The sequence below is a fragment of the Homo sapiens genome, chromosome 20, assembly GCF_000001405.40.
Source record: "Homo sapiens chromosome 20, GRCh38.p14 Primary Assembly".
Lineage (NCBI taxonomy): Eukaryota > Metazoa > Chordata > Mammalia > Primates > Hominidae > Homo > Homo sapiens.
In genome coordinates, this window is record NC_000020.11 from 33,787,373 (window position 1) to 33,813,527 (window position 26,155).

Genomic DNA, 26,155 nt, shown 5'->3' on the forward strand with positions numbered 1-26,155 from the left:
TTGACCTTTTTAATCTTTTTAATGACCACAGAGCATTCTATTGTAGGGACCAGCATTTCCGTATCGACTGGGTTGATGGTTTTTCAGAAGTACTTTATTCATTCCAGAGGGAGAACAGAGAGGAAATAATGGCAGGAAGTCACAGCAGCCCAGAAACAGCCCCTTCCAAAGGGCAGGCTGTGACCCCACGGCAACTTTGCAGGCACCTCCCTTGATTTCCTGTGGGTTCCTCAGGTAGCCCATCAGGCAAGAGCTGCCCCAGGACGGGTTTAACAGCAGGAAGATCTGGGTAGCTCAGATGGGCTCTGGATCACGCTGCTGGGCTGGAATCTTAGCTCCCGCAACCATAGGGGTAGCCCCTGAGCCAGTCCCTTCACCTCTCTGAACTTCAGTCTTCTTTCTTATCTGTGAAACAGGGATGATGGGAGTCAGTGCCTCCTGGTTTTTTGGAAGGATTCAGTTAGATAAGGTGTGATTCCTCGTCCCCCAGGGTGGACCGCATTGCCAGAAATGACATGAGGCCACCTTGCTTCTCAGGCCGTGCCTCATCCTTGACTCCTCTCCTCCTCTCACAGTCACAGCCAGTCCAGTGGCAAGGGCTGCCGACTGTGCCTTCCCAACATGGCTGTCCTGGGCCACTTCCTGGTTATCCTCACCTCCACCCTCATTCGAGCTGGTTAAAAGCTTACATCAGAGTCCATCCCTCTGCTGTTCAGACCTTCTGGTGCTTCTCTTCTGGCTCAGAGTAAAAGCCAAAGTCCTGGCTGGGCGCGGTGGCTCATGCCTGTAATCCCAGCACTTTGGGAGGCCAAGGCAGGTGGATCACTTGAGGTCAGGAGTTCGAGACCAGCCTGGCCAACATGGTGAAACCCCCCATCTCTACTAAAAATACAAAAATTAGCTGGGCGTGGTGGCACACACCTGTAATCCCATCTACTCAGGAGGCTGAGGTAGGAGGATTGCTTGAACCCAGAAGGCAGAGGTTGCAGTGACTCACCTGAAATCTTGCCACTGCACTCCAGCCTGGGTGACAGAGCAAGGCTCTGTCTCAAAAAAAATAAATAAATAAAAGCCAAGTCCTTAGCTCTGCCTCCCAGGTCCTCCCATGCGGACCTGGCTGGCTCGCTGCCCTCACCTTCTGCCTTGTTCTCTGGCCACACCAGCCTCCCTGTTGTTCATCAGCACCGCCAAACGCACTCCTGCCTCAGGGCCTTTGTACCTGCTTTCCCTGCTGCCCAGACCATCTCCCTGATGACCTGAGGTCTCTCCTCATGCATGGCCTCATCAGAGAGGCCTCTCCTGACCATCCTGTCAAAATAGCCCTGTCTTGTCTCTGGCAAAACAAAGCCACTGAAGAATGAGAGAGGCTATTTTCTCCCCTGGCCACCTCCCTAGAGGAGCTGCTCCCCTGAGGGGCCCAGCGGGGACCCTTGTGCCCTGGATGCCGACTCCTGGTGAGTGCTGGCTCTCCCTGTCTGTGTCTGCTGCAGGTGAGAAGCCCTACAAATGCTCAGTGTGCGAGTCTGCGTTCAACCGCAAGGACAAACTGAAGAGACACATGTTGATCCACGAGCCCTTCAAGAAATACAAATGCCCTTTCTCGTGAGTAGAGACTGCCATGCAGGGGGGTGGGTAGCGGGACAGATTCTCCAGGGGTGCTGCTGGGGAGGGTGGGACAGATGTCAGGCCTGAGGGCAGGCCTCTCCTTTTTTTTTTTTTTGGAGACATAGTCTCACTCTGTCATCCAGGCTGGAGTGCAGTGGTAAGATCTTGTCTCACTGCAACCTCTGCCTTCTGGGTTCAAGCGATTCTCTTGCCTCGGCTTCCCAAGTAGCTGAGATTACAGATTTAGTAGAGATGGAGTTTCGCCATGTTGCCTAGGCTGGTCTCGAGCTCCTGACCGCAAGTGATCCATCCACCTCGGCCTCCCAAAGTGCTGAGATTACAGGCGTGAGCCACTGTGCCTGGCCAGGCCTCTCTCCTTTTATCCTGTCCTGGGCCCTGCCTGCCTCACTTCCCACCCTACCTCCTTGCCCAGCCCTTAGGGTGGACAAGGCTGTCCCTTGTGCCCAGGGCTAGTGGAGGGGCCAGCAAGAGGATCCTAAGCTTGGTGAGCTCCCCCTGACCAGTGGCTTTGGGTTTTAGGACGCACACAGGCTGCAGTAAGGAGTTCAACCGGCCGGACAAGCTGAAGGCCCACATCCTCTCCCACTCTGGTAAGTGGCTCTTGGGCCTGCTAAGAGGGTCTGGTTCAGCTCTAGTTCACTGGGATAGACCCGCCAGGAAGAGAAAGAGCAGACATATCCTGTGAGGCTTGTTTTCCCTGCCTGGCACATTCCAGCCAGCACTTTCACTTATGTGGGCTATGAGCCAGGCCTGTGTTAGGGACTTAAGGGTGAACAGAGATGAATCAGACACAGTCCCCCAGTCCAAGGAGGAAGCTGACCTGAGCAGAGATGACTCAGTTGGAGCAGTGCCCAGTGTAATAGAGGTGTGGACGAGGTGTGGAGGGAATCAGATTCCAGCCAGGTCCAAGACATGGCCAGGAAGCTTCTTTGATAGGGCAGGGCAGGGGTCTCCAAGCCACTCCTCAGTTTCTCAGCGCCTCCTCAGAGCAGCCTGGCTGGCTTTCCACATGCCAGCCGAGGTCTAAAACAAGGTTCTTCAACCCTGGCACCATTGACAATTTGGGCCAGATAATTTTTTTTTTTTTTTTTTGAGACGGAGCCTCCCTCTGTCACCCAGGTGGAGTGCAGTGGTGTGATCTTGGCTCATTGCAACCTCTGCCTCCCAGGTTCAAGCGATTCTCTTGCCTCAGCTTCCCAAGTAGTTGGGATTACAGGTGCCTGCCACCACACCCAGCTAATTTTTGTATTTTTAGTAGACATGGGGTTTTCACCATGTTGGCTAGGCTGGTGTCGAACTCCTGACCTCAAGTGATCTGCCCGCCTTGGCCTCCCAAGGTGCTGGGATTACAGGTGTGAGCCACCGGCGCCTGGCCTGTAATCCTGTAGATAATTTTGTCCTGGGGGCTGTCCTGTGCCCTGTAGGATTTTTAGCAGTATCCCTGGCTTCTATCTACTGGTGTCAGTGGCATCCCCCCACAGTTGTGACAACCAAAAATGTCTCTAGGCATTGCTGAGTCCTCTGGGGGGTAAAGTCTCCCTTGTTTGAGAAGGTTTACAGAAAGGAGTCAGTCACTAAAGAAAGTGTGAAAACTGGGAGAGTAGGTCAATGACTTGGACACACAGGGCTGGGTTGGAGTCTTAGTGCTGCCATGTTCCTGTGGGTGGCCTCAGGCGTCACGGCCCCTCCCTGAGCCTGAGATGACCTGGCAAAGCGAGCCAAGGTGCAGAGAGTGAGCAGCTGTTCCAGGCAGAGGAGAATGGCAAGTACAAAGGCGCAGAGGGAGGAGCCAGCGTGGCATCTCTGAGGAGAGCGAGTGTGGCTGGCGCAGAGAGTGGCTGGAAGAAGGCAGACGACGAGGGTGGAGAGAGCTGGGGCCAGATCACACAGGTGCTGGTGGGGAAAGAGCCTGGATTTTATTCCCAGCGCAGGGCACTGTTGCGGGGTGAAGGTCTGGATGCTTCTCACTGACTTTCCCTTGCCCTCCAGGCATGAAGCTCCACAAATGCGCCCTGTGCAGCAAGTCCTTCAGCCGCCGTGCCCACCTCGCCGAGCATCAGCGCGCCCACACGGGCAACTACAAGTTCCGCTGTGCTGGCTGCGCCAAGGGCTTTTCCCGCCACAAATACCTCAAAGATCACCGCTGTCGTCTCGGCCCCCAAAAGGACAAGGACCTGCAAACCCGGCGGCCCCCCCAGAGGAGGGCAGCCCCCCGCAGTTGCGGCAGTGGTGGGCGCAAGGTGCTGACCCCCTTGCCTGACCCGCTGGGGCTGGAGGAGCTGAAGGACACAGGGGCTGGGCTGGTGCCCGAGGCTGTCCCCGGCAAGCCGCCCTTCGCAGAGCCGGACGCGGTGCTGTCCATCGTTGTGGGTGGTGCGGTGGGCGCGGAAACTGAGCTGGTGGTACCTGGACACGCTGAGGGGCTGGGCTCCAACCTGGCTCTGGCGGAGCTGCAGGCTGGGGCCGAGGGCCCATGTGCCATGCTCGCTGTGCCCGTCTACATCCAGGCCTCCGAGTGACGGACCTGAGGTGTCTGTTTCCTGGGCAGGCCTGATGCTCCTGTTTGGGTCCAGGGCCCCTGGGGGCAGACCGGTGATCCTTACCAGTGGAAGCGAGCCATCGAGCCATTGGCAGAAATCCTGCTGAATGTCATTCAGAAACCTCAGCCCATGGTCGCCCTCCTGTGCCCCTCTCCTGCCGGAAAGCCCTGCAACATTCTAGGGTTGGGGGCAGGGCCATCCACGGTTTCTGGGCAGAGCCATGGTGGCAGGAGAGAGATGGCTGAAGCCTGAGCAGCCCAGAGTCCCGCTGGTCTAGGCTGGTGGTCGGGGCCCCTGGGAGAGGAGACAGGGCATTCCTCCCCACTCTGTCTCCAGGCTGCCTCTGGGTAGCCTCTAGTCTGCTGTTCTTCAGGAGGCCTGCCATAAACTCTTCGGAGTTTACGTGTTGCACCTTTTCACAGACGGTTCCCCACAGCATCCTCAGACAGCTCTGTGATGTAGCTTTTAGGAGGCACTCAGGTGTCACGGCTAGACTGCAGCTATGAGACAGATCTGGCTTCAAATCCAAGAGTTGCCATGCACTTGCTGTGTGACCTTGGGCAAGTCACTTCACTTCTCTGAGCCCCGTGTTCCTCATCTGTACAATGGGGCTTACGATACTACTACCTCATAGGGTTGTCCTGGGGATCCAGTATGATGAAGTGCGCCAGGGGCTTGGCATGGTGCCCGGCACGCAGAAAGTGCTCAATAAATGTTTTTGTCATAACGTGTCCGGGTGGCCTGGGCCAAGCTGTGGCAGTTTCCTTCTTTGCCCCTAGGTGGCAGCACTCCCCCTCTGAAGCTTGTGGTGGCTGAGGGGTCCCAGGCCCCTCACACAGGGAGCCCTGGAGAGATGATAAGGGAAGCAAGGCTGGGCACGGCAGCTCATGCCTGTAATCCCAGCACTTTGGGAGGCCAAGGTGGGCTGATCACCTGAGATCAGGAGTTTGAGACCAGTCTGGCCAACATGGCAAAACCTCGTCTCTAGTAAAAATACAAAAATTAACCGGGTGTGGTGGTGCACACCTGTATTCCCAGCTACTTGGGAGGCTGAGGCGGGAGAATCACTTGAACCCAGGAGACAGAGGTTGCAGTGAGCTGAGATCGTGCCACTGCACTCCAGTGTGGGAGACAGAGTGAGACCCTGTCTCAAAAAAAAAAAAAAAAAATTAGCTGGGCATGGTGGTGGGTGCCTGCAGTCCCAGATATGCTGGAGGCTAATGTGGGAGGATCACTTGAGCCCAGGAGGTTGAGGCTGCAGTGAGCTGAGATTGTGCCACTGCATTCCAGCCTGGGCAACTGAGCAAGACCCTGTCTCAAAGATTTAAAAAAAAAGAAAAGAAACGAAAAAAAAGAAAGGAAATTGGGAACACCCATCCACAGAAAACAGTCCAGGACAACACCCCATGGGGGTCGGGGTTTGTACTCACTTGTGGGAATTCAGGATAGTTAGCCACCTCCAAATCCGTTGTAAACAAGATCAGAAATCCCTCTCGTGTCGGCATCTGGAGGCCATCAATGTCACCGCGTCCAGTGCTTCCTCCTACCTCTCAGCTGGTCCCGGTGGGAGGTGGACCGGGCTCATGAGGAGGCGGGAAGGAGAAAAGGGCCTTGACTAGTGTTTTCCTGTTTATCTTCACAGCCACCCTTCTGGGCTGTTGGACTCCATTTGATGACTGAATTGTTTTGAAGGCTGGCAGGTCCCTCAGGCATCTGTGTTGGATCTCAGGGCTGGAACTCAGAGCCAGGCCCAGCTTCCCACATCCTCAGGAAGGGTGTGACGCGGCAGGAGGGACAGAGTTGATGGGGGTGAGGTGTGTAAGTGTACCGGCCTGCACAAAGGCCCGAGGGGGACTGGTGGGGACAGGAAGTCAGAGGGGATGCCCCTGGAGCTGGGCCTTGGCCCGGGGTGCTTTGATGGGTGGATGGATAGGGGAAGGTGTGCTGGGTGAGAGCAGGGCGCGTGCAAACACCTTGGGGTGGGACAGTGCCAGGCCTGCTATGTTCTGGGGCCGGCGGATGTTCCAGGGTGACCAGAGGTCTCAGAGGAGTAGGTGGATAATGATCATGGCTGTTGCTTCACCTTCTCCACACGAGGGACACTGTGCCAGGCTATTTACAGTCACGTCGCCTCAGCCTGTCATGTGAGTGCTGTTACTTTCTGTATTTTACAGCTGAGAAAACCCAGGCCCAGAGGGGTAAACTTCCTTACCCAAGCTCACACAGCCAGGAAAGCTGCAGAGCTGGGACTCAAGCCACGGCAGCCTGCCTCCATGGGTTCTTAGCCACTTTCCACGATTGAAGTGTGGGTTGATGAATCAGAGAGGGCCTTAGATGTGGGTTAAGGAATCTGGACTTTATTCTCCACATAATGAAGGGGAGTCATGGGAGACAGTGAACATTTTTAAAAGTTGTAACAATGGCATTGAAAGAAATGTGAAGAACGACATCTTCAGCCGGGTGTGGTGGCTCACTCCTATAATCCCAGCACTTTGGGAGGCCGAGGCGGGTGGATCACCCGATGTCAGGAGTTTGAGACTATCCTGGCCAACATGGTGAAACCCCATCTCTACTAATAATACAAAAAAATTAGCTGGGCGTGGTGGCACATGCCAGTAATCTCAGCTACTTGGGAGGCTGAGGCAGGAGAATCGCTTGAACCCGGGAGGCAGAGTTTGCAGTGAGCTGAGATCCCGTGACATTGCACTCCAATCTGGGTGACAAGAGTGAAACTCCATCTCAAAAAAAGAAAAAAAAATGACATCTTCTTCCTAATATAACTATTTAAGTGGTTTTTCTATAGCTTCTTCCTGTCAGTGCACACAGGCATACACGTCTACTGGTAATCACGAGAACTAACATTTATTAGTTATCGAATGAATGCCTGGCACCATCCCCAGCACCTCAATGTAGGCACTACTTTTAAGCCCATTTTGCAGCTGAGATGAGGCAACAGGCACATTAAGGTTAAGCAGCCCAAAGTCACACAGGAGGGAAGTAGCAGAGCCAAGCCACAGATAAGGACATACCAAGATCAGCTATAATGTTTAACAGAAAGTTGGTGACAAATCCCAGCACTTTGAGAGGCCGAGGCAGGCAGATCACGAGGACAGGATATCAAGACCATCCTGGCTAACATGGTGAAACCCTGTCTCTACTAAAAATACAAAAAATTAGCCAGATGTGGTGGCCCTGGAGCTGGTCCCAGCTACTTGGGAGGCTGAGGCAGGAGAATCGCTTGAACCTGGGAGGCGGAGGTTGCAGTGAGCCGAGATCATGCCACTGCTCTCCAGCTTGGGGGAGAGCAAGACTCTGTCTCATTAAATAAATAAATAAATAAATAAATAAATAAATAAATAATAAAAAAGAAAGTTGGAGATAGCTGCTCCAGGACCCCAGGGTCTGCCACCGAACTCCAAGATGCTGGACAGAGTGGAGCATAAAAAGGGGCTGGCCTAGGCATCCAGGGTCTCACTCCACCCCCAGAAAGATCACAGTTTTTTTACCGGGTGTGGTGGCTCACTCCTGTAATCCCAGCACTTTGGGAGGCCAAGATGGGCGGATCACCTGAGGTCAGGGGTTCGAGACCAGCTTGGCCAACATGGCGAAACCCCATCTCTACTACAAAAAATTAGCCATTCGTGGTTGCATGTGCCTGTGATCCCAGCTACTTGGGAAGCCAAGGCAGGAGAATTTGTAGAATCCGGGAGACGGAGGTTGCAGTGAGCCGAGATCTCACCATTGCACTGCAGCCAGGGTGACAGAGTAAACTCATGGACAGACTCTTACTCTAAGAGTAAACTCTGTCTCAAAAAAAAAAAAAAAAAAAAAGAGAAAGATTACAGTCTTTGGTATCAAGCAGAGCTGGGTTTGAATTCTGGCTCTGCCCCCTCCTAGCTGTGTGACTATGGCGAGTCACTTCACCTTTCTGAACCTCAGTTTCCTTGTGTCAGTGTGGAGAATAATAGTACCTACCTGGCGAGGTTGATGTCACAATTCACGGAAATAATTCAGGTAAAGCAGAGATCACAAATTGGCCGCTCATGGCAGCCTCCAGACAGTTTGGCATTCACAGTGTCTGAAAAAGTAAGCCAACGTTTAAAAACAAATTTAAAATATACTACAGTGGTGAAGTGTCAGGAATGACACAAGGATGCCTGCTGTTATGACTCCAATATTACATTAGTGGCCTGGCCAGAATAATAGAGCAAGAAAAAGAAATAAATAGTATCAGGATTGGAAAGGGTGAGATAATAGCAAGGGTGCTGAAATAATAGCAAGATCAATATATACAAATCTACTATGCTCCTATACTCCAGAAGCAATTAGAAAATGTAAAAAATTGGGACATTTGGGCCAGGCGTGGTGGCTTACACCTGTAATCCCAGAACTCTGGCAGGCTGAGGTGGGTGGATCATGAGGTCAGGAGATTGAGACCAACCTGGCCAACGTGGCAAAACCCTGTCTCTACTAAAAAATACAAAAAATTAGCCGAGCATGGTGGTGCGTGCCTGTAATCCCAGCTACTCAGGAGGCTGAGGCTGGAGAATCACTTGAACTGGGGAGGTGAAGGTTGCAGTGAGCTGAGATCATGCCACTGCACTCCAGCCTGGGCAACGGAGTGAGACTCTGTCTCAAAATAAATAAATAAATATATAAATAAACAAAAAAACTCATTTCCTCTGATAAGTTTTCCTTGGCCAATCTGTGTAACATAGCCCCACCTCCATCATTCTCGAATTCCTTACCCTATTTTATTTTTATACGTCACCCTTGACATTATATTAGACATTTGTTTATTGTCTGTTGTCCTCATTAGAAACAAAAGGTCCACAAAGGCATCGACTTTTGTCTGTTTTGTTCCTGAAGTATCTACAGTGCTTAGACCTTCCCAGGAATTGTTCAATCAATATTTGTCGAATGAATAAACAACAGCACTTTGAGAGAAGAAGGCTCACTTTACCCACCCGCTCCTCTCACCCCAGGGAGACCAGAGAATCTGTCATGTAGACCGAGATATGACTGACCCAGGGTCCTGGGAAGTAATGTCTGATATAAAAGGATATCTTCCTTTGTTCAAAGAGGGAGCAGAGAATATCTGGGCCAAATGACTAAGGCAGGTGGCTTGGAAGTCTCGACAGAGCAGGTGGAAGTCGACAGAGCAGGTGTCCCTGTGGCCCAGGGAACTGGTTGGACTAGTTTTGTCTCCTTTGGGGAGGAAGGAGTGGAGGTGGCAGCTACGGGTGCTCCCAACCCCCAAGGCTGCCAGCAAGTGACCCCCCCACACACAAGGCTTTCAGGGCCTGAAGGGTGGTGATCAGGGAGGTGAGCAGGCTCCATCTAAGGATTGGCAGTGACTTCTTACTAGCTGAGGGTGCCTCAGGTAGGCTTAGGCACAGAACCCAACTTTAGGGCCTTGCGTCCTTTGAAGAATCACAGAGAATAAACAGGCCCAGGGAGAGAAAAGGTCTTGTCCAAAGTCTCATCAAGGCAAGGCTGCTTCCCAGGCCACTGCTACCTCAGTCCACTTATTTATTGATTAAATATTTCTTGAGTACCTATGACGTGCCAAGCATAGTTCTTTGATGATACATCATGAGCAAAACAATCATTTGTGGAGATCCTTTGTGGAGGAAGCAGAAGATAAACAACAAAGTAAATAAGTAAGTTATAGATGTTAGGAGGTGACGAGGACTATAGAGAAGGAAAAAAAGTAGAGGTGAGTAGAGGTTTTGAGAGTTTGGAGGGTGCTGGTGTGTTTGAGGAAGAGTAGAGGGGCCAGTGTGATTGGAGTGAGGCACTGGAAAGGGGGAGGGCAAGGAGGTGACAGGAAAATCATGACATCATGTAGGGACTTGAGGGACATTGAAAGGACTTTGGGTTTTACTTGAGGGACGTGGAGAGCCATTGGAGGATTGTGAGCATTCAGTGACTGGATCCGACATACATATGTATGTCCAGTGTCAAAACATATATATGTGTGTGTGTGTACATATATGTATATATATATGTGTGTGTATATATATATGTCAGATGTCAAAAAAATATATATATATAATTTTTTTTTTCCTGAGACAGAGTCTCTCTCTGTCACCCAGGCTGGAGTGCAGTGGCGTGATCTCAGCTCACTGCAACCTCCAACTCCCAGATTCAAGCGATTCTCGTGCCCCTGCCTCCTGAGACTACAGGTGCATGCCACCATGCCCAGCTAATTTTTGTATTTTTAGTAAAGATAGGGTTTCACCATGTTACCCAGGCTGGTCTTGAACTCCTGGCCTCAAGTGATCCGCCTGCCTCGGCCTCCCAAAATGCTGGGATTATAGGGATGAGCCACTGTGCCCAGCCAAACACATATTTTTTAAAGGATACCTCTGCTTACCATGTAGAGAATGAGCTGGAAGGAATAAAGATGGAGACAGGAAGGCCAATGAGGAAGAGTATTAGGTTCCTCTTGCTTCTGTAATAAAGAATCAGAAACTTAGTGGCTTAAACCAACACAGATCTTATCACTCTGGAGGTCAGAAGTCTGATATGGTTCCCACTGGACTAAAATCAAGTGTTGGCAGGGCTTTGTCCTTCCGGAGGCTCTAGGGGAGAATCTGTTCCATTGTCTTTTCCGGTTTCTAGAAGCCACCTGCATTCCTTGGCTTGTGGCACCTTTCTCCATTCAAAGGCAGAAGGGCAGCATCCTGCCAGTCTCTGACTCTGAAACCTCTTGCTTCTGTTTTGTGATTACATTGAGGCCAGCTGGATAATCCACAATAAGCTCATCATTTCAAACTCCTTAACACTTCTACAAAGTCCATTTAAGGTGAGATTCTGGGGATGAGGACATGGACGTCTTTGAAGGACCATTATCCTGCCCACCAGGAGGCTACTGCAATAGTGCAGGCAAGAGATGATGGTGGCTTTGACCAGAGTAACCGCAATGAAGATGGTAAGAAATGATAGCTTTCTGGATATATTTTGATGATAGAGCCAACAGGATATTCTAAGGGATTGGATGTGGACTTTTCCTTCCTCGTGCAGGTAGACTTCTAGTCTACCTGTGCCTTGGGCCTGCGCCTGGGTGAGGATGAGGGTTTCCCTGGGGTAAAGTCCAGGGAGTCACAGTCATTGACTGGAGCCTGTGTGGCCGTCTAGGGCCTGCTGCATGGCCTGCATGTGGTCAGACAAATGGGTATGGAGTAGGCCCTGTAACCCACCATTAGCACAAGTGTAGGGTCCTTTCTGGTCAACAGTTTCACCCACCTCCCCCTCACTCCTCACTTAACCCCTCAAGTTCTGCTGGGTTGGGCCTTTCCTGCCCCCATCGCTTACTTTGCCCCACTCCCCTGGGAGGTGAGACCTGCTCCCAGGCCCACCACACTTTATTTATTTACCTGTTTGTAGGTGTGAGTGTCTCTCTGTTCATTCATTATTTGCATGTAGGCAGAATAGCACAGTGGCTAAACTGGTTGCCTTTACAGTAAGAATCCCAGCTCTGCCTCCTACAAGTGTGTGATCTTAGGCAAGCTGTCCAACCTCTGTTAATGTATAAAATGGGAACAATAAAGCCTACCTCATATAGTTGTTGTGTGGGCTAAATGAGGTAATGCATGTAAAATCCTCGGCTCAGTGTCTGGCTTAGCATAAAGTGCTGATGAAGATTCTCTGTTATTTTCTCACGGTTCAAGTGCCAACCAGTCCACTCAATAATGGTGTGATCTTCGGCAAGTTATTCAACCTCTCCAAGCTTCTGTTTCCTCAGCTGTAATCTGTAACTACCTCATAGAACTATAGTTGGATGATTAAATGAGATAATCTGGCTGGGCGTGATGGCTGACACCTGTAATCCCAGCACTTTGAGAGGCCAAGGGGGGAGAATCAGTTGAGTCCAGCGGTTTAGGACCAGCTTGGGCAACATAGGGAGACCCTGTCTCTACAAAAGATACAAAAATTAGCTGGGTGTGGTGGCACACACCTGTGGTCACAGCTACTCGGGAGGCTGAGGTGGGAGGATCGCTTGAGCCTGGGAGGCAGAGGTTGCAGTGAGCCATGATCGTGCCACTGCACTCCAGCCTGGGTGACAGAGTGAGACCCTGTCTCAAAAAATAAAATAAAATAAAAATAAGTAAATAAATGAGATATTCTATGTAAGCTGTCAGAGTGAGAGCTCCGTGGATGTTAATGATTATTATTCCTGTTGTTATTATTTCATAAATATCTGTTGAATACATACTCTGTGCTAAGGCCTTTGTCTGTGTTGTCACTGAATCATCAGAATGGCCTGGTGAGGAATATAGTGTTATTTCTGTTTCACAGACAGGAAAACCAAGGCAGGTAAAGCACATGGCTGAATGGCAGAGCCCCAATTCTAATCTAGGTCTGTGTGGTAGGCACCAAAACATGTTCCCTCTTCATTACTTCAACGCACTTTTAAAAATTGAGATAAGGGGCCGGGCGCAGTGGCTCACGCCTGTAATCCCAGCACTTTGGGAGGTTGAGGTGGGCAGATCATGAGGTCAGGAGTTTGAGACCAGCCTGGCCAACATGGTGAAACCTGTCTGTACTAAAAATACAAAAATTAGCTGGGCGTGGTGGCGCATGCCTGTAATCTCAGCTACTCAGGAGGCTGAGGCAGGAGAACTGCTTGAACCGGGACCCGGGAGGCGGAGGTTGCAGTGAGCCGAGATCGTGCCATTGCACTCCAGCCTGGGCAACAAGAGTGAAACTCTGTCTCAAAAAAAAAAAAAAAAAAAAATTGAGATAAGGCCGGGCGTGGTGTTTGTAGCCTGTAATCCAAAACTTTGGGAGGCCAAGGTAGGCGGATCTCCTGAGGTCAGGAGTTCGAGACCAGCCTGGCCAAAATGGGGAAACCCTGTCTCCACTGAAAATACAAAAATTAGCCAGGTGTAGTGGTGGGCACTTGAAACTGGGTGGTAGAGGTTGCTGTGAGCCGAGATTGTGCCACTGCACTCCAGCCTGGGCAACAAAGCGAGACTCTTTGTCTCAAACAATAAAAATAAAAATTGAGATAAAATTCACATGACATAAAATTCACCATTTTGGTCGGGTGCGGTGGCTGATGCCTGTAATCCCAGGACTTTGGGATGCTGAGGCGGGCGGATCACCTGAGGTCAGGAGTTTGAGACCACCCTGGCCAACATAGGGAAACCCCATCTCTACTAAAAATGCAAAAAATTAGCCAGGTGTGGTGGCAATACCTGTAATCTCAGCTACTCAGGAGGCTGAGGCAGGATAATTGCTTGAACCTGGGAGGCAGAGGTTGCAGTGAGCCAAGATTGCACCACTCCACTCCAGCCTGGGCAACAGAGTGAGACTCCATCTACCAAAAAAAAAAAAAAAAAAACCTCACCATTTTAACTAAAGTATACAATGCAGCTCTTTTTTATTACATTCACAATATTGTGTAACCATCGCCACAATCTAGTTACATAACATTTTCGTCATCCCAAAAAGAAACCCTGTACCCATTAAGCAGTCATTCTCCTTTTTCCCCCTCTCTGGACCCTGGCAACCACTAATCTGCTTTCTATCTCTATGGATTTGACTATTTTGGACATTTCATATAGGGTCAGCCTGGGTGACAGGGTCTCACTTTGTCACCCAGGCTGGAGTAGAGTGATGAAATCACAGCTCACTGCAGCCTCGAACTCCTGGGCTCAAGTGATCCTTCCACCTTAGCCTCCTGAGTAACTGAGACTACAGGCACACACCACCATGCCCGGCTAATTTTATTTATTATTATTATTATTTTGTATAGCTGGGGTGTCACTATGTTACCTAGGCTGGTCTTGAACTCCTGGGCTCCTGCGATCCTCCTGCCTTGGCCTCCCAACGTGCTGGGATTACAGGCATGAGCCACAGGGCCTGGCCTCATTCCTTTGCATTTGGATACCCAGCTGTCTTAGCACCATTTGTTGAAAAGACTATGCTTCCCCCATTTAATGGTCTTAGCACACTTGTTGAAAATCAATTGACTATAGATGTATAGGTTTATTTTTGTACTCTTGACTCTATTCAATTGATCGATAAACTTCTTTATTGTAGCTTTGCAGTAAGTTTTGAAATCAGGACATGCGAATCTTTCAACTTTATTTTTCTTTTTGAATATTGTTTTGACTATTCAGGGTCTCTTGCGATTCCATATGAGGTGTGGGATAAACTTGTCCATTTCTGCAAAAAATGCAGCTCAGATTTTGAAAGACTTGTATTGAATCTGTTGAGCAATTTGGAGAGTGTTGCTGTCTTAACAATTAAGTCTTCTAATCCATGGACATGGAATGTGTTTCCATTTATTTATGTCTTCCTTGATTTCTTTCAACAAGGTTTGGTACTTTTCAGAGGACAAGCCTTTCCTTTCCGTGGTTAAATTTATTGCTAAATGTTTTATTATTTTTGATGCTATTGTAAATGGAAATGATTCTTAATATCATTTTCATATTGCTCGTTGCTAATGTACAGAAATACAACTGATTTTTGTGTGTTGATATTGTTGAACTTTGCTGAACTCATTTTAGTTCTAATAGCTTTCTGTGTATTCTTTAGGTTTTTCTCTATATGAGATCATGTCATCTACAAATAGAAATAGTTTTACCTCTGCTTTTCCAATCTGGATGCCTTTTATTTATTTTTCTTGCTTAATTGCCCTGGCAAGAACTTTCAGTACAATGTTGATTGGAAGTGATGAGAGTAGGCATCCTTATCTTATTCCTGATCTTAGGGGGAAAGCTTTCGGCCTTTGTCTTCACCATTAAGTGTGATGTTAGCTGTGGGTTTTGCACAGATGCCTTTTACCAGGTTGAGAAGTTCTCTCCTCTTCCTAGTTGGCTGAGTGTTTCAGGTTTTGTTTTTTTGTTTGTTTGTTTTTTGTTTAATCAGGAGAGAATGTTGGATGAACTCTTTTTTACAACTAAAAATCAGCGAAGTCCTCTGTATTTAATTTGGTATAATTATGTGAGACCAAGTTTCATAATTAAGGTTTTATTTCATAATTTTTTTGATTTTTTGGGACAGAGTTTCACTCTTGTTGCCCAGACTGGAGTGTGATGGTGTGATCTCGGCTCACCGCAACCTCCGCCTCCCAGGTTCAAGCAATTCTCCTGCCTCAGCCTCCCGAGTAGCTGGGATTACAGGCATGCACCACCACGCCTGGCTAATTTTGTATTTTTAGTAGAGATGGGGTTTCTCCATGTTGAGGCTGGTCTCAAACTCCTGTCGTCAGGTGATCCGCCCATCTCGGCCTCCCAAAGTGCTGGGATTACAGGCGTGAGCCACCGTGCCCGGCCTCATTTCATAATTAATGTTTTCAAAGAAGGTTACAAATATATGGCTGGGTATCTTTAACCATGTGACTTTAGTCAATTCCTACTTCTTTGGGCCTCAGTTTCCTCAACTGTAAAATGGAGGTGGATAGTAATGCTTACTTCATGGGGCTTAGAGGGATGATGGAGATAAGATGGGATTTTTGTGTGCAAAGGCACTTTGCAAATAAAAACTATTCTTCTGTTGCTGCTCTTATTAGAGATACTTTGTGTGTGTATTTTTGTTGTTGTTGTTCGTTTCTTTTTTGAGACAGGGTCTCCCTCTGTTGCCCAGGCTGGAGTGCATTGGCGTCATCATAGCTCACTGTAGCTTTGAACTCCTGGGCCCAAGCAATTTTTCCACCTCAGCTTCCCAAGTAGCCCAGACTACAGGCTTGCACCACCATGCCTGGCTAATTTTTAAATTTTTTTCTAGAGAAGAGATCTCACTATGTTGCCCAGGATGGTGTTGAACTGTGGCCTCAAGCAATCCTCCCACCTTGGTTTCCCAAAGTGCTGAGATTACAGGCATGAGCTGCCATGCCCAGCTAGAGATGTTATTTATTTATTTATTTATTTATTTACTTATTTACTTATTTTTGAGATGGAGTCTTGCTATGTCGCCCCGGCTGGAGTGCAGTGGCATGATCTCGGCTCACTGCAACCTCCACTTCCTGGGTTCAAGTGATTCTCCTGCCTCAGCCTCCTGAGTGGCTGGGATTACAGGTGTGCACCACCATGCTTGGCTCATTTTCGCATTTTTTAAGTAGACTTGGGGTTTCACCATGTTGGCCAGGCTGGTCTCGAACTCCTGAGCTCAAGTGATCCATCCACCTCGGCCTCTCAAAGTGCTAGGATTACAGGCATGAGCCACCATGCCCAGCCTGGAGATGTTGTTTTAAATTGTAATATAACATGTTTAATAAAGTACATAAGATACATAAAGGGCAATCGTCTTAAGTATAAAAACTGATTAATTTGTATACAGCCATGTGAACACCTCTGGATCCTGCTATTGAACCTGTTAGCACCTTGTAAGGGTCCTCTTCCTGGTCTGTACCTCCCTGGAGGTAACCATTATTCTGATTCCTAACACCATGGATTAGTTTTGCCTGTTTTTGAGCTTCGTATATATGGAGTCATACAAGCTTTTGTATCTGGTTTCTTTCACTCAGCATAATATCTGTGAGTCATCCAAATTCTTGCATGTATCAGTGGCTCATTCTTTTTCACACAGTTTTGAATAAGTTAATACGAGTTGGTCAAAGTTTGAAAAGGCTGTGCATTTGTCTGAGAGACCAGAAAAATACAGGCCAGCAAAGCCCAGGGCTCTCCAGTATTGAGCCAGTCCACTCTGTGAATCTCTATTTATGGCAGCTGAATTCTCAGCCAGGATGGCAGCTACTTTGCCCATGTGTCACCACTTCCCATCCCATACCCTGGGTAGACATCACAAATCCATCTTGAGCACTTTTTTTTCTTTTTTTGAGACAGTGTCTCACTCTGTCACTCAGGCTGGAGGGCAGTTGCATGTTCACAGCTCACTGCAGCCTCAACCTCCTGGGCTCAAGTGATCCTCCTGCCTCAGCCTCTCGAATAACTGGGACCATAGGTGTGTGCCACCATGCCCAGGTAATTTTTAATTATTTCTTGAGACTGAGTGTCCCTATGTCGCCCAGGCTGGTCTCAAACTCCTGGGTTCAAGCAATCTTCCCATCTTGGCCTCCCAAAGTGCTGAGATTACAGGTGTGAGTCGCCATGCCGGGCCAATCTTGGCACTTTTTTTTACAAGAACTTCTGATGCAGCCTCAAAATTCTTTTCAACCCAGCGGTCCAGGTGGCCAACACTAATTGCTTGTAGTTGGTACTTGATATAGTTTGGCTGTGTCCCCACTCAAATCTCATCTTGAATTATATCTCCCATAATTCCCATTGTTGTGGGAGGGACCTGGTACGAGATAATTAAATCATGGCAGCGGTTTCTCCCATACTGTTCTTGTGGTAGTGAATAAGTGTCATGAGATCTGGTGGTTTTATAAGGAGAAACCCCTTTCTCTTGGCTCTCATTCTCTCTTTGCCCGTTGCTATCCATGTAAGACGGGACTTACTCTTCCTTGACTTCTGCCATGATTGTGAGGCTTCCCCTGCCATATGGAACTATAAGTCCAATTAAACCTCTTTCTTTTTGTAGATTGCCCAGTCTTGGGTATGCCTTTATCAGAAGCATGAAAACAGACTAATACAGTACTCAAGATTAAATCTGAGGCTTCTGCTGTCATATCCCCAAGATATTTTTCTGGGCTCCCAGAGTTAGAACATGAGGGGCTCTGTTATCACCCTCAGTTTACCACACAGCTGTATGAAACTGATGGTGGTGAGGTCCACAGCATCTTCCTGTTCATATATCCTTTGGGTAATGGCTCCAACCCAGCAAGTGTTTTGCTACCTATGTACCTGGGAGCAACTTGACTTAGATAAGAGGTGATGAGGCAGACTGCTTAGATGTGGAGGGGCTGCTGCACCCATGAGGTGGCTTGACTGAAGCCTCTTTGTTTTTCTCTTTTACTTTGCTAAAACATTGCAGTGTCTCAATTACGGAACAAACACAAATGTGACTTAATGTTTAACAATACTCCTGTGAATTCTTGACAGTTCTAGCATGTCTCTCACATTTGAAAAACTTATTCCAACCACAAAATTGGGTGAAATGAACTCTACCATCCTCTGGGAATGGCTGCCTGTATGTGCAGGGTTGGAGGTTGTGGCTGATTAAAACAACAACAACATCCAACTCATGGCTTTTGTCCAAATGTAAATCATAGTCTGAGGGAGGAGATAAGACTCACATATAAACTAATAGAGGAAAAGTCCAGCTAAGCTCTCATTTATTTGAAACTCTGATCCTGAGCAACTTCACATATTTGAAAAGTACAGGAAGGAATAAAAAATACCTTTGAGAAGCTGTATTTTTCTTCATGGGAGAGCATTTCAGCTCCTCATTTAGAATTGGTTTATTCTTTGTTTTTGTTTTTGTTTTTTTTTTGAGACGGAGTCTCGCTCTGTCACCCAGGCTGTAGTGCGGTGGCGAGATCTCGGCTCACTGCAAGCTCCGCCTCCTGGGTTCAGGCCATTCTCCTGCCTCAGCCTCCCGAGTAGCTGGGACTACAGGAGCCTGCAACCACGCCCGGCTAATTTTTTTGTATTTTTAGTAGAGACGGGGTTTCACTGTGTTAGCCAGGACGGTCTCGATCTCCTGACCTCGTGATCCGCCCATCTCGGCCTCCCAAAGTGCTGGGATTACAGGCGTGAGCCACCGCGCCGGCTATTCTTTGTTTTCATGCAAGGTTAACACATGCAAAAGATTGGAAGCAGCAAATTAGAATGGTAGGCTTGGGGCAACTACTGGCTACTAACAGCAGCCTCACTGCTAATGGATGGAGAAGTGATTTTTTCCCCCTTTTTATCCACCACTAAGAGTCTAGAGAAGTGATGCTTGACACCAAAGACAATGGAAAAACAATGAAATGTGGTACCACAATTAGCTGCGTCTGTTTATTGCAGAGGCAAAAAAGTCCTCAACGCTTCTGCCACTTTTGAAAGTTCTGAGTCTGGTTCAATTCTTATTGCCTATAAAGATGACAGAATACCTAAGAATAAAATACACATTTTTGAGCATCCGCTAGGTGCCAAGTCTATGCTCAGCAAGTACTTTACATTCTATATCTCACATAAGCTTCAGGTGGTCCTGTTACGATCATCTCCAGTTTATACTTGCAGGAAGGGAGGCACAGAAAGTAGGGGAAATAACTTGCCCAAGTAAGTAGTCAAGGCTGGGTTTTGAACCTTTGCTATCAAAGTTCAGTGCCAAGGCCCTTAGCTTCTGCTAGGTTTCAAAGGATCTGTTAGGTGAATGAAGAGTAGAAAGGCATTCCAGGTAGAGGGAAGAACATTTGCAAAGACAGGTCTAGTCAGTCAGTCACTTGATTTCTCTGAATCTTGGTTTACTCCCCTATAAAATAGGAACAGTATTATCTGTCCTAGGCTGCTTATGATAATTAAATGTGTTTTTTTTTCTTTTTTTTTGGAGACCAAGTCTTGCTCTGTCACCCAGGCTGGAGTGCAGTGGCGCAATCTCAGCTCACTGCAAACTCTGCCTCTGGGGTTCAAGTGATTCTCCTGCCTCAGCCTCCCAAGTCACTGGGATTACAGGCACGTACCACCATGCCTGGCTAATTTTTGTATTTTTAGTAGAGACGGGGTTTCACCATGTTGGCCAGGCTGGTCTCGAACTCCTGACCTCATGATCCATCTGCCTTGGCCTCCCAAAGTGCTGGGATTACAGGCGTGAGCCACTGCCCCCGGCCAAATGTGATATTATATGTACAGCACTTTGCACAATGCCAGAATGTGCATCGATGGTGCAATCACAGAATGTGCATCAATGTTAATTATTGTTGTTTTTCAAATACAATAGTTCTCCTTTATCCTCAGGTGTACCTGCAAGTGGATGCCTGAAAACATAAATAGTACTGAACTTTATATATACTGTGTTTTTTCTATATATATACATCTATGATAAAGTTTAATTTATAAATTAGGCACAGTAAGAGATTAATAACAACTATTAATAAAATGGGACAATTATAACAATATACTGTATTCAGTTTTGTGAATGTGGTCTCTCTCTCAAAATGTCTTACTGTACTGTATTCACCCTTCTTCTTGAGATTATGCGTGATGTCAAAATCCCTATGTGATGAGATGAAGTAAGGTGAATGACACAGGCATTATGAGGTAGTGTTAGGCTACTACTGACCATCTGAGATGTCAGGAGGACCATCTGCTTTGGGTGATCCTGGATCATTGAGCTATGACGATGTCAGTGGTTGGATATCAGGATCAGACGATGTCAACCAATGATTGGGGGTCCTTGGATAATTGCGTTTTTGCCAAAAACTTTTGGAAGAACATTATTACTGGAAGTTGTCTCTTTCTTTCTTTTTCTGAGATAGCATCTCAGTCTGTTGCCCAGGTTTCAGTGCAGTGGTGTGATCATGGCTCACTGCAGCCTCAACCTCCTGGGCTCAGGTGATCCTCCCACCTCAGCCTCCTGAGTAGCTGGGACTGCAGGTGTGCGCCACCACACCCAGCTAGTTTTTTGCATTTTTTGTAGAGATGAGGTTTCACCATGTTGCCCAGGCTGGTCTCAAACCTGTGAGCTCGAGTGACCCGCCTACCTCAGCATCCCAAAGTGCTGAGATTACAAGCGTGAGCCGCTGCACCTGGCCATCTCTTTCTATTTAATTCTTTTTTTTTTTTTTTTTTTTGAGACAGAGTCTCTGTCGCCCAGGCTGGAGTGCAGTGGCGCAATCTCGGCTCACTGCAACCTCTGCCTCTTGGGTTCAAGCAATTCTTCTGCCTTAGCCTCCCAAGTAGCTAGGATTACAGGTGCACGCCACCATGCCTGGTGAATTTTTGTATTTTTAGTAGAGACAGGATTTCACCACGATGGCCGGGCTGGTCTCAAACTCCGGGCCTCAAGTGATCTGCCCACCTCGGCCTCCCAAAGTCCTAGGATTACAGGTGTTAGCCACTATGCCTGGCCTCTTTCTTTTTAATTCATAGAAGTGTGGCTGCAGAAGTTGTAATCCTTTGGTGACCACACGAGTGGTTTTAATGCTGTGTTCTATCTGAGGATTGAATTCCATAATTTTGTCCTTTAATGTCTGTGCAATTTGAAACACTCGGCAAATTTTGATAACACCCATATTGCTGGTTCTGTTTCTGTTTCTCCTTCATTTTCCTCTTTCTTTGTAGATGACTTGACAAGTTCTTCCAATTCCACATTTGTTAACACTTCCCAGTGGCCTTCAATATGATCTTCCACTTCTTCATCAAGCATGTCCCCAAATCCTTCTCCACCAACTTGTCTTGCTGTAGCCTCTCCAGTAATATTTATTTATTTATTTGTGACAGGGTCTCACTCTGTCACCCAGGCTCGAGTGCAGTGGTGAGATCACAGCTCACTGCAGTTTCAAACTCCCAGGCTCAGATGATCTTCATGGCTCAGTCTCCTGAGCAGCTGGGACTATAGGCCTGTGCCATCATGCCCAGCTAAATTTTGTATTTTTTGTAGGGATGGGGTTTCGCCATGTTGCCCAGGCTGGCCTCAACTCCTGGGCTCAAGCGATCCACCTGCCTTGGTCTCCCAAAATGCTGGAATTACAGGCGTGAGTCACCGCACCCAACCTCCAGTAACTTTTTTTTTTTTTTTTGACACGGAGCCTCGCTCTGTTGCCCAGGCTGGAGTGCAGTGGTGCCATCTCGGCTCACTGCCAGCTCTGCCTCCCGGGTTCACGCCATTCTCCTGCCTCAGCCTCCTGAGTAGCTGGGACTACAGGCGCGTGCCACCATGCCTGGCTAATTTTTTTGTATTTTTAGTAGAGATGGAGTTTCACCGTGTTAGCCAGGATGATCTTGATCTCCTGACCTCGTGATCCGCCCGCCTCGGCCTCCCAAAGTCCTGGGATTACAGGCATGAGCCACCGCGCCCGGCCTTTTTTTTTTTTTTTTTTTTGACACGGAGTCTCTCTCTGTCGCCCAGGCTGGAGTGCAGTGGCGCAATCTCGGCTCACTGCAAGCTCTGCCTCCTGGGTTCACGCCATTCTCCTGCCTCAGCCTCCAGAGTAGCTGGGACTACAGGCACCCGCCGCCACCATGCCAGGCTAATTTTTTGTATTTTTAGTAGAGACGGGGTTTCACCTTGTTAGCCAGGATGGTCTCGATCTCCTGACCTCGTGATCCGCCCGCCTTGGCCTCCCAAAGTGCTGGGATTACAGGCGTGAGCCACCGCGCCCGGCTCCAGTAATTTTTTTTTTCTTTTTGAGACAGAATTTTGCTCTTTTCGCCCAGGCTGGAGTGCAATAGCACGATTTCAGTTTACTGCAACCTCTGCCTCTCAGGTTCAAGTGATTCTCCTGCCTCAGCCTCCCAAGTAGCTGGGATTACAGGCGTGCGCCACCACGCCCAGCTAATTTTTTTATTTTTATTTTTTATTTTTAGTAGAGATGGGGTTTCACCACGTTGGCCAGGCTGGTCTCAAACTCCTGACCTCAGGTGATCCATCCGCCTAGGCCTGCCAGAGTGCTGAGATTACAGGTGTGAGCCACTGTGCCCAGCCCATCCAGTAATTTTTATATTTTGCAGTCTAAACCTATTCCTAAGTCAGTGCAACCATCCATTACTTTCAGTAAGTGGCTTGGTGCCACTGGTTTTAGGAGATTCCTTGCTGAAGCCTTTATACAGGCTCAATGCTTTCTGGGGGGTAACAGGTTGCTGTCAGTTGGAACACATTTTTTGTTCGTGTCTTCCACGTATAAGCTTAATGCTTTTTCTTTTCTTTTGTAAAAAAATTTATTTTCTTTTTTTCCCCTGTAAGTAAGGATACAACTTAATGCCTTTTCTATCTTAACTAAGCACTTATCACACACTGTGGCTGTAACTTTTGCAGTTTGAGGTACGACAGCAAAACCAGCATGAATTTCTTTTTCCTCTTTCACAATTCTAGGGCTAGAAGATTCGTTCTTACTGCAGACCTCAGTAAGCTCAGCATACGATTTTTTTTCTTAAGCTCAGAACTTCCACATTTACATTTAAAGGAAGCACTTTACAGCTTCATTTTGGCATATCCAAACTGCCAGCATTACTACTCTTGCACTTTGGGGCCATTATATAGTAAAATGAGGGTTACTCGAACCAAAGCACTGCAACACCGTGGCAGTCCATCTGATAACTCCTAAGCTGGTAAGTAACTAACAGATGGTAGAGGTATGTTGGACAAAGGGATGATTCACATTGCAGGTAGGATGGAACAGGATAGCACGAGATTTCATTAGGCCAATGGAAATTAAAAACTTATGAACTGTTTATTTCTGGAATTTTCTATTTAATACTGTCAGACCTTAGCTGGCCAAGTGAAACTACTCAAAGTAAAATCTCAGATAAGGGGGACACTACCGTACTTAACTGGAGAAGATACTGCTTTGCTTCTGTGACCACAGAATTGACAGGTTGAAATTGGAAACAACTGTTGCCTTCACGCTTTTAAGACAACTTCACATGAATATACATGTGAAGTTCAAGCATGGCAGTATCCCATACTAGCAATAAATTTTTGAGCAGTGTTGCACACTTACTGTCATTTCTCTTACTGTTCTGCCACTCCTACAGAGCGCAGGCCAAGGAGACTACATTTCCCAGAATGCCACACGCCCTTTGACCCCAGCTACAGCAAAAGACGCGCCGGGGAGCGCCTGAAGCCGGAAGACTATAGCTTCCCGGCATGCAGCACGCTTCCCCCTATTAGATTTGAGGCGCGGCCGGCGCGTTGCCCACTGGGAGTTGTAGTCAGTGGCGCGTTGCCCTGACGCCTGCCGGGCCGGGCGTGGGGGCCTGTGGGAGGTGGCGCGGCCGGGCCCAGCTGCGGGGCGGAGGCGGAGGCGGAGGAGAGGCCTGCGGCGGCAGGGAGCGGCGGGACTGGGAGCGGGCGCCGGAGCCGACCCGAGCCGAGCCGAGCCGAGCCGAGCCGGAGCGGGCGGCGAAGGCCGGCGCGGCGAGCAGCAACCATGTCGGTGTTCGGGAAGCTGTTCGGGGCTGGAGGGGGTAAGGCCGGCAAGGGCGGCCCGACCCCCCAGGAGGCCATCCAGCGGCTGCGGGACACGGAAGAGATGTTAAGCAAGAAACAGGAGTTCCTGGAGAAGAAAATCGAGCAGGAGCTGACGGCCGCCAAGAAGCACGGCACCAAAAACAAGCGCGGTGAGGCTGCCCGGCCCCTTCAGACTTGCCACGGGCTCCCCCCAGGCTCCCCGGGCCCGGACTTCACCTTCATCAGACTCGCCTCGGGGTCTGGTCTGACCCTGGAACTCTCCGGGTCAGACTTCTTGCCGGGTCTGGGACCCCCTCCCCGACTCCCTTCAATGTCTCCCCGATCCCTGGACTTTTCCATCGTCAGACTTATTCTGCCCTCTCCCCTCAGCCTCTCTCCACCCCGCCAGGTCCCTTCAGACCCCAATCTCACAGCACTTTCCTCCGCCCTCACTCTGTCCCTTTCTCTTCCGCCTTTTCCTTCTCGCCTCACCCACCTGCCTAGCTACTGCCCCTGCCTCCTCCTCGGCTCATTTCTGCCCCCATCCTAGCATTTCTGTGCTTCCTGGTCCTACCTGTGCCCTCTCCCGACTCCTCGGTGGAATCTGTGAGCTGCCCCTTGGCCTCTCCCCTGTCCTCTTGTCTCAGAATTCTCGTTGAAAAGCCTCCTTGCTGGAGAGAAAAGGGGACTGGGGGAGATGAGACCCCCGATTCCTGCTCTATTCACTTGCTGAGTGAACTTGAGCAAGTTGCTTTCCCTTTGAGGCCTCAGTTTCCCCATCCGTCAGCCAGAGTTCGGCCTCTGTTGAGGCCTAAGGTGTTTTCCAGCGTTGTGATTCACTTTTTGTTGCCTCGTAGCTTGACCTTACCAAAGTTTCCCGTGGCGCAAGCCTTCACCCCATGACTCACCGCTTCCCCATCCGTCTGAACCAGAAATAGAGACTCCCGACTGCTCCCCAGTCCCCACTACTAGGATTCAGGGCCCCAGTATTGAATCTTGAGGCACTGCTTACTTTACTTCCTGTTGTCGTATGGCTTTCTGGGCATTCCAAGTGCTTTGTGTTTTTCTTAAGTGAGATGAATGTGAAAATGCTTTAAAACTGTAAAGCAGTTTAGAAATGTTTGCTTTTTCTTGTTATGGCCATGTGAGAGTGAATCACAGAACGACATCCCTTCCCCTTGAGAGGGGTTTAGGATTGAGGTAATTCACTCAGAAGTCTGCTAGTGACTAGCAGTGCGACCTTGAGCTCATTTACCTTTCTGAAAGGAAAATCATGGATTTACAGTGCTCAGCACATAGTAGGGGCTAAATCGATGTTTTCTCCATTCTAATAGGAGAACAAAATAGCCTATCTGGAGGATGCTTCTCTGCTGATAGTCAACAGATATTCTGGAAATTCTTTTTAGTGCCTGCTGCATGCGCTGTATTCATAGGGGTGAACAAAACACGGCCTCAACCCTAATGGGAGAGAAGACAGAAACAGGAAAATAAATGAAGAAAATATTGTCCGGGGGTGATAAGTACTAAACACACAAAAAGATGGTCTGATAGGGAGTGGTGGAGTGGGAGGGATGCCACTTTGGATAGAATGGTCAGGGAAGGCGTCTTTGAAAAGGTAAAGTTTGAACTGAGTCTGGAGAAGGAACCAGCTCTGTAAAAAAAAAAAAAAAAGGGGGAGGAGCCTTCTGGGCGTGGAAAGCAGCATGGGAAAAGGCTCGGAGGTTAGCAGGTTGTAAGAAACCGAAGAGAGAGACCCTTGTGTCCAGAATGTAGTGCTTGGAGGGAGAGTGGTATGGAATAAAGGGGGCGGGGCTTGGACTTTGAACCTGTTGGTGAAGAGTTTGAATTTTATTCCAAGTGGATGGAAAGTTTTTGGAGAGTATTTTGTTGGAACGTGTCCTTATTGACAGAGTTTTTAAAACATCATCTGGCTGCTCTTTGGAGAGTGGGTGGGGGATGCGGGTGGGAGCAGGGAGAACAGTGAGGAGGCAGCTGCAGTGGTCCATTTGTGGCTTGGACTCCAGCTTAGTTGTGGAGAT

The 26,155-nt window shown here is 48.5% G+C and overlaps 2 protein-coding genes and 1 long non-coding RNA gene across 6 annotated transcripts in view, besides 7 other annotated features; 2 read left to right on the forward strand and 1 right to left on the reverse strand.

Annotated features, from left to right (window-relative positions):
* ZNF341 (zinc finger protein 341) overlaps positions 1-4,897 on the forward strand; it is a 60,274-nt gene extending 55,377 nt beyond the window's left edge. For all 4 annotated transcript variants that reach the window (NR_104259.2, NM_001282933.2, NM_032819.5 and 1 more), the window contains 3 exons: positions 1,491-1,602; positions 2,146-2,216; positions 3,616-4,897. Coding sequence is in view for 3 of the 4 variants with exons in the window: in NM_001282933.2 (NP_001269862.1) it covers positions 1,491-1,602; positions 2,146-2,216; positions 3,616-4,145 (713 nt within the window). In the remaining variant the exon portion in view is untranslated. The remainder of the gene's footprint in view (positions 1-1,490; positions 1,603-2,145; positions 2,217-3,615) is intronic.
* Positions 1-23,727, reverse strand: ZNF341-AS1 (ZNF341 antisense RNA 1). The gene is made up of 4 exons (NR_110623.1): positions 23,668-23,727; positions 10,546-10,623; positions 8,142-8,244; positions 1-405 (listed from the first exon to the last, which is right to left on the reverse strand). It is a non-coding gene; the product is annotated as a ZNF341 antisense RNA 1 (long non-coding RNA).
* Positions 4,771-5,065: an enhancer, noted in NCBI's record as "tiled region #14745; HepG2 Activating non-DNase unmatched - State 4:PromP". NCBI's record gives its function as "activates a minimal TATA promoter and a strong SV40 promoter by Sharpr-MPRA in HepG2 cells {active_cell/tissue: HepG2}" and the evidence as "EXISTENCE:reporter gene assay evidence [ECO:0000049][PMID:27701403]".
* Positions 23,651-23,945: an enhancer, noted in NCBI's record as "tiled region #12013; HepG2 Activating non-DNase unmatched - State 1:Tss, and K562 Activating DNase matched - State 4:PromP". NCBI's record gives its function as "activates a minimal TATA promoter and a strong SV40 promoter by Sharpr-MPRA in HepG2 and K562 cells {active_cell/tissue: HepG2 | K562}" and the evidence as "EXISTENCE:reporter gene assay evidence [ECO:0000049][PMID:27701403]".
* Positions 23,651-24,104: a biological region, named in NCBI's record as "Sharpr-MPRA regulatory region 12013".
* Positions 23,685-23,764: an enhancer, noted in NCBI's record as "active region_17747". NCBI's record gives its function as "activates an Ori minimal core promoter by ATAC-STARR-seq in GM12878 lymphoblastoid cells {active_cell/tissue: GM12878}" and the evidence as "EXISTENCE:reporter gene assay evidence [ECO:0000049][PMID:35858748]".
* Positions 23,825-24,104: a silencer, noted in NCBI's record as "silent region_12824". NCBI's record gives its function as "represses an Ori minimal core promoter by ATAC-STARR-seq in GM12878 lymphoblastoid cells {active_cell/tissue: GM12878}" and the evidence as "EXISTENCE:reporter gene assay evidence [ECO:0000049][PMID:35858748]".
* Positions 23,976-26,155, forward strand: part of CHMP4B (charged multivesicular body protein 4B) — a 43,019-nt gene continuing 40,839 nt past the window's right edge. Inside the window, exon 1 of the mRNA NM_176812.5 lies at positions 23,976-24,286. Coding sequence (NP_789782.1) covers positions 24,097-24,286 — 190 coding nt within the window. The 5' untranslated portion in view covers positions 23,976-24,096. The remainder of the gene's footprint in view (positions 24,287-26,155) is intronic.
* Positions 24,531-25,371: an enhancer, noted in NCBI's record as "H3K27ac hESC enhancer chr20:32399709-32400549 (GRCh37/hg19 assembly coordinates)". NCBI's record gives its function as "activates a minimal SCP1, AML or CMV promoter by ChIP-STARR-seq in primed H9 embryonic stem cells {active_cell/tissue: H9 hESC(primed)}" and the evidence as "EXISTENCE:reporter gene assay evidence [ECO:0000049][PMID:30033119]".
* Positions 25,200-25,269: an enhancer, noted in NCBI's record as "active region_17748". NCBI's record gives its function as "activates an Ori minimal core promoter by ATAC-STARR-seq in GM12878 lymphoblastoid cells {active_cell/tissue: GM12878}" and the evidence as "EXISTENCE:reporter gene assay evidence [ECO:0000049][PMID:35858748]".